Source organism: Homo sapiens, chromosome 9, assembly GCF_000001405.40.
Source record: "Homo sapiens chromosome 9, GRCh38.p14 Primary Assembly".
NCBI lineage: Eukaryota > Metazoa > Chordata > Mammalia > Primates > Hominidae > Homo > Homo sapiens.
Window position 1 is genome coordinate 40,447,196 of NC_000009.12, and position 14,318 is coordinate 40,461,513.

The 14,318-nt window shown below is 34.6% G+C and overlaps 1 long non-coding RNA gene across 1 annotated transcript; it reads right to left on the bottom strand.

Annotated features, from left to right (window-relative positions):
- Positions 1–1,134: 1,134 nt before the first annotated feature.
- Positions 1,135–11,152, bottom strand: LOC107986995 (uncharacterized). Its single transcript, XR_001746461.1, has 2 exons — positions 10,795–11,152; positions 1,135–1,637 (listed from the first exon to the last, which is right to left on the bottom strand). It is a non-coding gene; the product is annotated as an uncharacterized LOC107986995 (long non-coding RNA).
- Between the last annotated feature and the right edge of the window lie 3,166 nt (positions 11,153–14,318).

Consider the following 14,318-nt stretch of genomic DNA (forward strand, 5'->3'; position numbering starts at 1 on the left):
TTATTCTTTTCTCTATTTCCTCCATTACCCTATTGAGCCATCAAGTATTTTTTAAAGTTTCAATTATATTTTTCGGTGCCAAAATTTCTATTTGTCTCTTGGCATCTTCTATTTCTTTGTAAAGCTTTCCATTGTTTCATTTGTTCCAGCATATTCGCAATTGCTCATTAAAACATTTTTATGGTGGTGGCTTTAAAATCCTTGTGAATAAATCTAATTTATGTGTTATCACTGTGTTGGCATGTGTTATCTCATTCAAGATGAGATTTTTTTTCTGGTGCTTGATATGCTGAGTAATTTTCAACGTATCTAGGGTAATTTGGATATTATGCTATGAGGCTCTGTATTTTAACTCTTGGAAATAAACCTCCTGTGACACCACACATGGTGAAAGTGGGGGTGCCTTGTTATTGCTAGGTGGTGATAAAAATTTATCCCTGCTCAACCACCTTTGGAGAGTGGGGGATTTTTTTCTTGTTTCTGCTCCCACTATGGCCTACACTGAAGGGAAGGCAAACATCAGGAGGCCTTGGACCTTTTTACCACTAGATGATGGTGAAAGTTCCAACTTCTCACTTAGTTTACTTTGACACCTAAGGAATCTGGTGGAGAAGGACGGGGCACATTGTAACTACCTGGCAGAGAAGAAAGTTCTAGATTCCCACACGGCCTTCTCTGATATCACCCAGACATTGATAGGCGGCAGGGCCTGTTAGTTTGTGTGTGTGTTTAAATTACACATTACCAATAGTATCACTTTGCATAAACCTATACTAAACTAAAAGCACGGACCCCACAGAAGATATGTAATTAAAGTTATCTTGTAGTATGCAGGTCTTTTTCACAGATGCATTCAGTGTGTGGTTTAAAAGGAAGTTAAAAGTTTAGTTCTAGTTACCATGCTAGAAGAACCTAATAGGTAAAGGATGACATCATCAAAGGCAGTGAAAGTCCTCTTTAATGTCTCAAGGCTTTTCATTGTGTATCACGAAATTTTGGTTATCTGTTTCTTTTCAGTAAATATTTAGTCTATTTTTCTAAGTTTAATATATTAGGATTTTCATTTTCATTAATCCTTAGTGTTTGTACTACTGATATTTGCACATACAGTATGAGAACATACATTTCAATTGATCATTTTTAAAAAATTTATTTGAGATATATCAAAAGTTCTATACCATATAAAGGAAAGTTATTCTACTATTCTAAAGCAGCTCATAAAATACAATGTACAAATAGGACAAAATACATGCAAGAAGCGGGAGAAATGTTCCTAAGCAGCTCCACTGATACAGTGGAGATATAATCTCTCCTCTCTATTGAATGAATTTGCTGAGGGTCGGTGCATATAGTAGTCAATGGAATACAAACCAATAAAAATATGATAGATAAATAGAATGAAAAGTATCCAAGGGTCAAGTGCTAAATCTGTTCTGCTGATTCCAGCTGGTATTTCCTTTTCTTCTTTAACCCACATGAAGACACTCTACTAAACAGTCATGTATAACTCAGGCATACTGGTTTTCATTTGTAATTTTCATTTTATTGCACTTTCAATTTTCAGGTTTTGTCCATCTTTCTTCCCCTTGGCCCTTCCATCACTTCTGCTACTTGATGAATTCTGTCTTAAACAGTAGCTAGAATATAAACATTTAATAAAATATTAACCTGATTGCTTGCCCTCCCTATAAACAATAAAATGACATACATGAACAAATGACAAATACAATATTTTATGTTGTGTTTATTTCTACCTTTCTCCAAGGCTTCTTTTAATCTTTATTAAAGTTTATTATAGCAAACTACTATCAAATATTTCCATGCATTTAACTGGTTATTGTAACATCAACACAAGAGAGCAAATGAAATTGTGAAGCTTGTACTTTCTATTGCTCTAAGGTGTCTATGCAGATCATTATGTATTCTTCACCACAGGTCAGTTGCTTAGCTACCAGAGAAGTAGAGAACTACTAATTGAAAGTATTCTGTATTGCTGGCAAGGCTTGCTGCAGGACGTTGAACTTGGAAACAGCAGAGACTGTGTCAGATAAAAATGTTGCAGAGGATGAAAGAAAAATAGTTGCAGCATTATCATACTAGGAATGGTTATTATTTACTTTATGGTAAATTCTGCAAAATGCTTTGCTGTGCTTCTGTTTTGTAAGATATTAAAATTGATTTTACTATTAAGGATCATTTACACAATCAGATTAAAAATCAGAGTTGTGGCATCTATTTTTAAAAAGTAAAACAGAACACAAAGGAGAAAAAGAAGAGGAGGACAAAAGGGAAGAAACAGAAGCAACAGCACTAAGTTAGATCCAGGTCCCTAAAGACAAGTAACAATATCTGTATGAACTTTTCTGATTGCTTATTTTATTTTGTAATGAAAACAAAGAAAGAGGATGAGGAGGAAGATGAGGATGAGGAGACTGAGGAGGAAGGCAAGGAGAGTAAGGAAGAGGAGCAAGAGGTAAAGGAGAAGAAAAGAAAAAAGAGAGAGAGAAGATTATTAAAAATCAAACTAAATACATATTGGAAAAACAATTGAAAAACAAACCAAAAGTAGCAACACTAACAGAGCAATAGTATAAACAAATTTATTCAAAGCATTAATTTTATATTAGTCTGTATCAGGCTTTCTAACCTGTACATTATATAAAATTAGGATTATTTTCTCTCTTCTTTCCATGTAATGTACAATTCATGTATCCATCAAAAATAGATGAGTGGTCATTGTGTGACATCTTTCACTTAATAGAAAAGACTAGGTCAGAAAAGAGAAAATGTCCTTCACAAGACCAAGACTAAGTTGGCTCAATTTTCCTGATAGCTTATTTGCTACAAGAATTCTGATATAATTCTGTATTTACAGGCTCATTCTCTCTCTCACACAATCCACAGGCATACAAAGTGTGTGTGTGTGTGTGTGTGTGTGCACATGCGTTTGACAAAGAGAGAGAGAAAAAGACTTGAATAACTGTTTCTTATGAGAATTCATTTGTGGTAATGGTTGCTACTTGTATTTCTATAAAGATTACTCCTAGTAATGATTGAAAAACAGGACATATGTTAATTAAATGTTCAGTGACTTTATAGTTAAATATACATATAATGCACATTCCAAGTTTTTAAAAAAATAACAATCAATAAATAGCTAAATGTTTTAAATCATAACTGGTCAGAATTTAGTTGTTAATATTCAGATACCATTTCAGTATCGTGTAGAGTCATTATGAATATCATTTGTCTGCAGTACTCTGAAGATAAAGGTGGTAAAACATGTGTTAGTCAATGGTCTACCTGTTATACAGCCTTTTAAAACAAATCCTTGGCATGAGATTGTCATTTGTCTGTTTCTCATAAAAGCTGAGTGTAGAACATCCTAAAAATCCAGTTCAGCTTTTTTATTCTTGTTACATTTCTGCAGAATTTTAATATAACTTTCCTTTTGTGTATTTATGCCTACTGTTTCTATTTACTTACGGGTGGCCTGAATTTTTTATCCAGAGATAAAGTTAATGCAAGAAAGAATTTAAAAATGTATGGTAGATTATCAAAATTCTTAACTTAAAAAAAGGTCAAATCCACCTTTGCTACAGCACACAACCTAATCTTATATCTGTTCATCTTTTTTGTCTTTGTTTTAAAAACACATACTTGATAATCATATTAGATGGTTACAGCTTTCTATTGCTGCATAATAAACCAGTCTAAACATAGCAGCTTAAAACAGCTAAGTAGCACAGATGGACCTGCTCATGATTCTTCAATCTGGGCTGAACTCAGCTGGGTGGCTCATCTCTTCCCTAGATGGTGTCTTCTGCTGGACTATTTAATATGTTTGTATTTAGAGGCAGCTCCATAGGGACTGGAGGATCCTAGCTGGCCCCATTCATATGTTGTGCTGGAATGACTAGAAACTAACTGGGTCTTCCTCTCTATCTTCCCAGTCTTTCATTCCTCCTGGTCTTTTTCATCATAAGGTGTCTCATCCACAAGGACGCTAACCTAGACATCTTTGCACAGTGGCTCAAGGTAAAAGACAGAGTAAACAAAAGCTATAAAGCTTCCTTAAGCCTAGGACTGAAACTTATACAGTGTCTCTTTAGCTGCATTCTCATGGCTCAACTAATTCACAAGGCTAATCTATTGTCTGGTTGGGAGGATAATGCAAGGACATGAAATCAAAGGACATCCATAATTCATTGGGGACTGTTTGGTAAGAATATGAGTTAAGGCTTAAATTTGTTCGAACACAACTGGTTCTAAAGCATCACATTGTTGTATTAGGTTTCCAGGGTTGTCATAACAAATTACAACAAACTTGATGACTTAAAGCAACAGAAATTGATTCTCTCACAGGTCTGGAGGCCAGAAGACAAATGAATGTGTTGGCAGTATTGGTTTCCACTGGAGACCCAGAAAAAACCCATTCCATGCTGTCAGCAATTCTTAGCGGTTTTTGTCTTTCCAGTCTCTCTGACTCTGTCTTCACATGCCTCCCCGCTTTTTCTGTGTCTTTCTGTTATTCTATCTCTTATAAGGACACTCATTAGATTTAGAATTTATTGTAATAGAGGATGAGCACACTTTATTACCTTATTACATCTTCAAAGATGCTTATTACGATTGAGGTCAGACTGTGAGATTCTGGGTGGACAAACCTTTTGGGCAAACACCATTCAACTCTTACGATTTTCTATCAAAATGTATAATTTTCTCCCATACTTTTTCAGTAATCTCCACCATAAAGAACTTGGATTTAGAACACTTGGATTCAGTAATCTCCATCATAAAGAACTTGGATTTAGAACACTTTTTTTCCACATGTATTTAAGCAATATTTCTCAAAGTATATTCCTGAGAAAAGTATTTCAGTTATTCTATGAGTAAAAAGTTTCTTGGTCATGCAATTTTGGAAATTACTGCTTACTATTAACACCTCCTGGATATTTGCTTTGTGCATTAATTTATTAATGAGAAATCATATAGGAAAATATGCTAAAATTTTAGGAAGCACATGTTTTTCCCAAACACCAATAAACACTAAATATCACCAATTTTATTCAAATGATACCTATCAACACCTTACAGAAAAAGGGTTATGTGTACCAAAGGTCCTGATTTGACCTATTGTGTTGACTACATGATATCTGTTTCAAAAATATAAACAAAATTACCATGAGTATTACTAAACATTTTAGTAATCTGTGCCCTTGCAATTCAGCAAGCCATTTCAACTACCTGGAATTTTCTTTCTCCTTTTTATGGATAACTCCTACTGGTCCTTTAGATATGAGATTAGAGGTTATTTTCCAAAGAAAGCTTTTCTTCACTCCCCAAAGATTCAGTTAGTTGTTCTTCCAGTGATTTTTATAGCTCTCTGTTCTTGGTGGTAATATATCACTGAAACACTCTACTGTAATTACCTTGGTTTTTGTTCTTTATTTAGTGTTCAACCATATGCTTGCTGAAGTTTAGGATGTTATTCGTCATTGATTTTTAAGACACAACAGATATTTAATCAATTCTTATTAAATGAATAGATGAGAAAATTTGACATTGGGTAGAAATCCTTTAAAATATTTTGCATGGAAATCACTTTTTGCTTTCAAAGTAATGTAATTAAAGACTTTTAGTTCCCACAGTTTGCAACAATAATCTTAGGAACTTAACTATTTGTTTTGTGAATATCTAGCACTAAACAATGAGCTAGAAATTTGATAAAACAGTTCAAATAATTTTTAAATCTCTTTGACTCAACTAGTCATGACTGAATTCATTTATACCATTAGGATATTAACACGTCTTTTAAAAAACAGTGTTAAATGGAGCTGGTCAAGCTATGCATTTTAAGAAGAAAAAGTACTCTCTTTTTAATAGGCTCTGCATAAGTAAGGCTATCCTCTTTTTCATAGTTTTTCAGAAACAATAACTTTGTCATTTTCTATACTTATTGATAATTTCCCCAACATATTAACAATTAAGAAATAAAGTTATGGCAGCCTAATTAGTCGAGTCAATACAGGAAGTAAATTGTTAAGACAGTGGGCATACCATCTTAGTTAGTAAGATATGGACATTCAACCACTCTCTTTCCCTACCCTAAGACACACACACTGTCAGAGAAAATGTTATGATGTGACTGAGAACTTTATGCTCAAAGCTTTCCAAAATTTCATATATAAATATTGTACTTTTATCAATATAAGATTTCACACTGTAAGAAAACATTGGCATAGGAATCATTCTCTTTTACACAGTTTGAAAATGAATTTTAATGACACTTATATCTGATAAATAATATAATGTCATGGAGTAAAAGTTATTTTCTTGATATAAATATTTTATCATTTGAGTATATTCTCCCTGAAATCTAGGTGTCAGTTTAACAAAATGCATTTCTCACTTCACTGAATATGACTCCAGGATAAATAAAAAAGAACATTCATATTCAAAAAAAGTAATTTATTTACCTAGTTTATCCCAAGATTTATACTGTCAATGCCTTCATTACAAATTAAGGGCTAAAATATATAGTAAGTTCCTGAAGCTCTACCAAATGTTATCTATACTAAGTAGAACTAAATTAAATCATTGTGTTAACTTTTTATTCCTATTAAAGGATTTAGTCTTCTTCTAGTTTAGCTATAATAACAAAAGCAAATGTACATCCCTGGTTTCTTGCCAATTATAGCTTGGTCACACCTGCCTAAGTAGTGTTTTATAATAAATACATGGTAAGTAAATTAGTATCCAACCCTCAGGCCTACATGGAATAAATTTGGTGGGGTACTTCTCCCTTGGGAAAAAAAATGTTGTTAGCATTTTTTGTTTGCTAGTATCCTTTAGACCTACTACCTATAAAAACCCCTCTAAATGAAGACTCCGGCAGCATTTCAATAAGCTAACTTCCATAGGTTTCTTCAGTTCATGGGGGTATTTTCCTCCTTTAATTTGCCAGCAGAGATCTGACATGAAAAAGTTCAGGTGCTGTTTTATAATATAAGAAAACATATACATGAGACTCCTTGTTCCTTGTCATAATCACATGTACAGTGCTTTAATTTCAACAAATCATATAGAAAAAAGAAGGTTGGTTTAAGTCATCATCACAAATAAAAAAGCCCATAAACCTACACCTATATTGTGGTCTTGTAATTCACCACTTGTAAGCTTGTAAAACCTAAAACTTAATATGCCTACAAATTTTGAATTTTTTAGAATATACTCAATTTGCTTCTACTTCTTCCATTGGGGTTCATGGCTATCTTACATTGTAAGACAGTTAGTAGACCCAGCAGAAATGACTTCAAAATATTTCTGGTTTCTGTGAAAGTTTGAAAATCTGTTGACTCCCTGGTTGTTCTGTTTGGAAGCCTTTTACGCGTTGCTTTCCCTTTCTTATTTCTCCTTACACACATACAAGCTCTTTTCTTGCCTATTGTGTGTACTTGGCTGATCTTCTGGGCACAGTGCCCAGTTGGTTTAATGTGTGCTTATTATTGTCTATAGCATTCCTGATTCTGTTTTGGAGATAGGTATTCTATGAATTATTAATGATTATTATCATCCTTTAGAATCAACTTTGCTTTTGGAATTTAGAAACAAAAGATGAACATTGAGCCCTATGGGTAATCACCAGCAATATCAAGGCCATGTCCAATGCTTGACTGTAAGGGAAAGGAATAGTGAATATACTGAAGTGAACAAAACAGGATTACTCCTATAAACAGATAAAATTAACAGAAGAAAACTTAAAGTTCAAAATGTATTACTTGAAAAAATGCTCGTAATATTATTTTACCATACCCATTTTACCATTTAAATATTACCAGTAGTTTTTTTCCTCAATATCCATTGATAAGCTTATTCTTTAAAAACAGAAGTGGGGAAAGTGCTAGCTTTTTTGCTTCTTATTCACAGGAACTTGTGCACCTGATGTAGTATAGCACATTCTCAAACATCTAATAGGTCACTTCTGAATTTTTCTCTGAATTTTGAATAAGATAAAAGTAATTTGAATTTAGCTATCATTTCAAAGAAGAAAAAAGTTGCATTTGCAAATTATTTACACAAGCACAAATTTTTAGAGAAAGAAATACTAGAGAAAGAAAAACATAGAGGAAAATAGGTGGTGAAAAAATTCTTTGGAAGTGCAAAAGAAAGAAAACGTTTATTGGCAATGACACATGATTATTAATCCCCATGTCTAAGTAAATTTGGGGTCTTTACCCTTGCTATAGTTTGGACATGGGTTATTCTCTCCAAAATTCATGTCGAAATTTAATTTCCCATGTAAGGTGTTAGGAGATCGTGCTTTGAAGAGGTGATTAGGTCATTAAGACAAATTAATAAATTTCTGGTGAAACTGGGTTATTTTTCATGATAATGGATTAGTTCTCATAAGAGCCGGTCATTCTAAAGAAAGTTGCCTCTTTTATAAAGCAATGATTTGCCTGATTTCCATTTTGTTTCTCTGCCTTGCTGTGACATAGCATGTGGCTCTCATCAGAAGCTCAACAGATGCCAATGCCATAGTCTTGGACTTTCCAGCCACCAGAACCATAAGCTAAATAAACCTTTTTTTCTTTATAAATTACCCAGTCTCAGGTGTTGTTACAGCAACACAACACAGACCAAGACAACACTACACCTGTAATACGTAATATTTTGAAATTAGATTTTAGCTTAGGAACAATACATACCCAATAAAGTGGAGCTCAGAAGACATCACTTAAGAATTGTTAAATAAGTGCCATCTTTTTGTTTTTATACTGAAAAACAAATGTATCGATTCTCAATTATTTTCTCCCTAATGTAACAATAATAACATAATATTGTATTTTCCAAAACCATTCCTCCTTTCTCTCAATTGTATGTATTTTTCCTTTTTTCTTTCTCCTTTTTCTTTTTGGAGTATGATAAATATTTTTAAATCTATCCTCCTGAAATTGCATCTAGGATTTGGATATATTTTGCTATAAATCTTTGCTTCCTTGGAATAAAAATATTCTCTACATTTTTATTATTCTAATGTTGATTCAGCTTTGGAGTTAATTTATATGCAAAGCAAATAATTTACCCAAACTTGTAAAGGATATGCATTATCAGAACACAACACCTGCAGGATTTCACATCACGACTATCTGTTCCATTACTTCCTCCATGTTAATGAATTCAAGTCTTGATTTTCTCCAAAGAAAATGGGGCAATGAAAATTGCATTTCCTAAAATTCTCCTTGAATTATGTTTTAACATTTCAAGTGTGTTAATGTAATGCTTTAGAAGCTAAAGGGAATGATTATATAGGAAGCTAAAGTCATCTATGTCTATCCTCGGGATTGATTAAGTTTGCTATTTATACATGTTTCCCCCACAACATTGCTGTGTTGGAATTTATCAGGATAGGAACCATCTAAATTGAAAATGCCCCTTCGTATATTTTTATCACAGTGAAAGTCAAAGCCTAGAATAACAGAAAGGCACAAAATTAATATCATCAGGAAACAATTTACTCAGCTAATTAGCATAACATTCTCATATAAAAAGACAGATGGATTAAGGGATCAGGTCATTCATAGCCTGCAGCAAACTGCTTCAGTCTTTAATCCCCTGCTGTTACCTATCAAATGGTACTCTTTTTATGGATTTGGACAGATCCCTGGGAAGATTTAGATTCTCCCATTGGACTGATTCACCTTGTTCCTTTAACTTTTTATTGATGATATATTTCATTATTTCCTGACTAAAACAACAGTAAGAACTCTAAATTAGTTAGCAGCTAAAGAATTGAACTAAAGGCGTATCTCCACATTTCTCATATAGTAGCTTCTACCACACACACACACACACACACACACACACACGATGCCCTGCAGTGCTAACAAATAGGCTCCGGCTTGAAGACAACCATAGAAGAGTTATATATATATATATCCTACTTCAATAAAAATTGGGATTTCATGCTACATACGCAACATTCAAGACAATTAGGAATAGCACAGTAACAGCCAGTAGTAACTATGAAAAATATCAAATTCTTTACATGGAAGTAGTCAATCAGCATAGATTATAGATTTCCATGAGTCCTTTAAAAATGTTTCCAAAAATAATGTCTAAGAAAACTATTAGTGAAGATGTTTGATCTATTGTATAGAAACCAAAACCAACAAATGAAAGAAAAGGCCTCTGGGAAAAAAAAATTATTTTAAAGTTTTAGGCTACAGGGAGATAATTTATTTCCCTTTGACTATTGTATTAGCTTTCTAGGGCTGCCATAACAAAGTATCACAATATAGGTGGCTTAAAAAAAAAAAACAAACATTTGTTGTCTCACAGCTCTGTAAGCTAGAAGCCTGAAATCAAGGTGTTGGCAAGATTGGTTCCTTCTGAAAAGTTCTGACTTAAAGTCCGTTCCACATGTGTCTTCTAGTTTCTGGTGGTTGCCAGCAATTTTTGGTGTTCCTTGACTTGTGCATGCATCACCCCACTGTCTGCCTCTGTCATTACATGGCCTTCTTCCTTATATTTCTTTATGTCTCTCTGTGTCCATATTTTCTTTCTTTATAAAGAAACCAGTCATTGAATTAGGGCCCATCCCATTTCAATATGACCCTGTTTCAAAATAACATCTGCAATAACCTATTTCCAAATAAGGTCACATTCACAAGTATTGGGATTAGTATTTCATTTTGGAGACTCGATTCAACACACAATGACTATAAACAATCAGAATGTTAGTTTATTAATTTATAACAAGAACTATGTTATATAAAATAAAATTCTTACTTCAGCATAAACAGTACATACTTTCCACCCAAACGCACATCTGTATGGGAAAACAAAATGTAGTCACATGATAGCTGGGTATGTATTAGATCAGAAAAATAAAGTTCAATGATTAGAATATTTAACACCATCAAGCTAATATAAATGTGCACATGCATTTATTTTTATTGTAGGAAGGCTTACCAACTTAACTGGCAATTTCACTTGCCCAGACTTCCTGCCTCAGGAATTGGACTTCCACTTAGGTGGAAAAGAGATTTATGCCTTAAAGATTCATCTGTAGCTCAGTTTCCATAGGCAACTAATTCTCCTTTCATTGACAGACTCTTTCTATAACTATGTTAATAAATTCAGTTCCAACATAGTAAAATCCTCTGACTTTACCCCGCTTAGGTTAGTTTACAGTGCTTCAGAAGGCATTCTTTCTACTCTTAGTTTTATATATTTATAAAGGGTTATATAAAACTAAGAGGGTTGTATTTTTGTAGCCATCTTTCTGATTATCCCCATGTACTGAGAATATGTGTGTGTGTGTGTATTGATACATTTTATTTAGATGTGTGTGTATATATATATATATATATATGCAAGACTATATGTATATAGTCTTGTCCTATTTGGAGGCCCATTAAAGTATTTTTTCTTCCCATTCTTTTACTTCAACTATGATATACAATTAATTCTGTTATACACACACACATACACATACATATACACATACATATATATGTACGTGTGTGTATACATATGTTTTAATAATCAAAGTTACAATTTATTTTGAACATATTATTTGCCAGAATTTATATGGCATACTTTGAATTCACTAACCTATTTAATCTTTAATATCTAAATGGGATAATTATTATTATTTATTTTTCAAAGATGGAGTAACAAAGGCTTCTGTTACCCCTCAATGTTGCCCATTCTCTACAGACTGTATAATAGAAGTTAAAATTATTTTTGCCCAACATCAAATATCTTGCATCATACTGCATTCCTTTCAGCAACCTGCATTTTTCAGCATCCTGCAATTTCCCTATAACCTGGAAATTTTGAACCTCCATGTCTTCGTGTGTAATATTTTCTGCATGAAAAATGTGTCATTTCAACTTATCTAACTCTTGCTTACTATCTAAGGTAAGGTAGAAGTGCCAACTTTTTCAAGGTTTTAGATAAAAGGTGAAAATAATAGTCTCTTGGTCCACACTCACATAGCCCTTTGTTTATATTAAACACTATATTATATTATGCTATATTAATAGTCAGCTGTTTATTCATCTCCTTCAGCAGACTCTAAAGGCCATTAGGGACTTGCTAATTCATTTACTAATTAATTAAAGAAATTTGAGGAGAATATCAAGAATAACCCTCTACTTGTTCCCGGCCACCATTCATCACTCACTTTCTTAATTGTTCATTCACAGTGTACATATACGGTGATGTCAGAAACGTTACATCATACTTCCATGAGAAACAACTTTATTAACTGGAGCACTGTGCTTGTATACACTTCCTTTCACCTTTAATTTTACAGTCTCCTCTCATTTCTGAAATTACTTATTTCAACGCATTTTTTCCCACCCATCTCAGTGAGGTTGTTTCATATATTTTCAATACAGTTATAATATTTTGTCACACTCTGCATTCCATCTTGCAATCCCTCTACTTCCTAAAGGATAGTTTTTTTTAAAATTATATAAATTAATGTTTCCTCCTCAAGCTCAAAAACTCTTATGGATTTTGAGAAATGCATAATGTTATGTCCACCATTACAATATCATATAAAATAGTTTCAGTACAGTAAAAAATTTGTTTTCATGTTTCACATATTTAACCCTACTTCCTCTCCTCTCACCTCTGGAAGCACTAATCTTTTATACTATATTGTTTTGCCTTTTTTACCATGTCATATATTTAGCAATATATAATACGAGGCATTTGCTGACCAATTTCTTTCACAGAGCAATAAATATTGAATATTCATGTATTTATTCCTGTAGATTTATATTTATTTCTTTTTTCTGGATGTACCAGTATATCAATTCACTTACTTAAGGTTTAAGGCCATGTAGGTTGCTGTCCATTTTTGATAATTATAAAAAAGAACTCTGATAAACACTCACATTTTTATGTGATATAAATTGTCACATCATTGGGATAAATACTTAGAAGAATGATAGCTGAAGTACGTGGTGAGACGATATTTAGATTTGTAAGAAACTGCCAATCTGTCTTCCAGCGTGCAGTACCATTTTTAAAATTCCCTTCAGCAAACAGCTACTATTGCTCTACATTTTCACCAGAATTTGTAATACTTCGGTTCATGGATTTAAGCCATTTTAACTAATGTGTGGTAGTATCACAATTGTTTTAATTTGTGTTTCTCTAAAGAAAAAAAATACTGAGCATATTTTTATATGCCAGTTGCCATGGGTATTTCGGGGGCAGGGGTGAGGTGTCTTTTCAGATTCTATGCACATTTGTAATTGGCTTGTTTGCTTTCTTATTATTCAGTTTTCAGAGTTATTTGTATGTTTAGATACCAATACTTTATTAGATATATGGTTTACAGATATTTTCTTCTAGTTTGTGGCTTGTCTTTTAACTCTCTGGAGTCTTTCACAGAGCAGAAAATTCCATTTTAAATTTAACAAACTCTAACATCATTTTTTCTTTTGTAGCTAGAACTTTTCGTATTAATATTATATCTAAAAATCCATTATCAAACCTAATGTCACTCATTACATGTAAAGCATGCTTTCTTTTTCAACTATTCTAGTGGTTCCCCAGAGTATCCAATACACATTTGTTACTAATCTAAGATCACCTTCAAATAGCACTCCACCAGTTCACATATAGTGCAGGTACCTTAATAAGAAGTTACAGCGTGCTGGCAGCCCTTGCTCGCTCTCCGTGTCTCCTCGGCCTGGACGTCCACCCTGGCCGCGCTTGAGGAGCCCTTCGCCCCACCGCTGCACTGTGGGAGCCCGTCTGTGGGCTGGCCAAGGCCGGAGCATGCTCCCTCTGCTTGCGGGGAGGTGTGGAGGGAGAGGCACAGGCGGGAACTGAGGCTGCGCGCGGCACACGCGGGGGCGGCCCTGCACTCAGAGCGGTCAGACTGGTGCCACAGGCCCTGGGCAGTGAGGGGCTTAGCACCCAGGGCCAGCCGCTGCGGAGTATGCGCTGAGTTCCGCATCACTGCCAGCCCGCCCGCTCTAGGCTCGAATTCTTGCCAGGCCTCAGCCGCCTCGCTGTGGGGCAGGGCCCGGGACCTGCAGCCCGCCATGCCCGAGCCTTTCCCCGCCCGCGCCTTCCCCCGTGGGCTCCCAGCGGCCAGCGGGAGTCTCCCCAACGGCACTGCCCCCTGCTTCGTGGCGCCTGGTCCCATCAACCACCCAAGGGCTGACTAGTGCAGGCACCTGGCGTGGGACTGGCGGGCAGCTCCCCCAGCGGCCCCAGCGCAGGATCTGCTAGGCAAGCCAGCTGGGCTCCCCAGTGAGGTGGGGTCTTGGAGAACTTTTGTG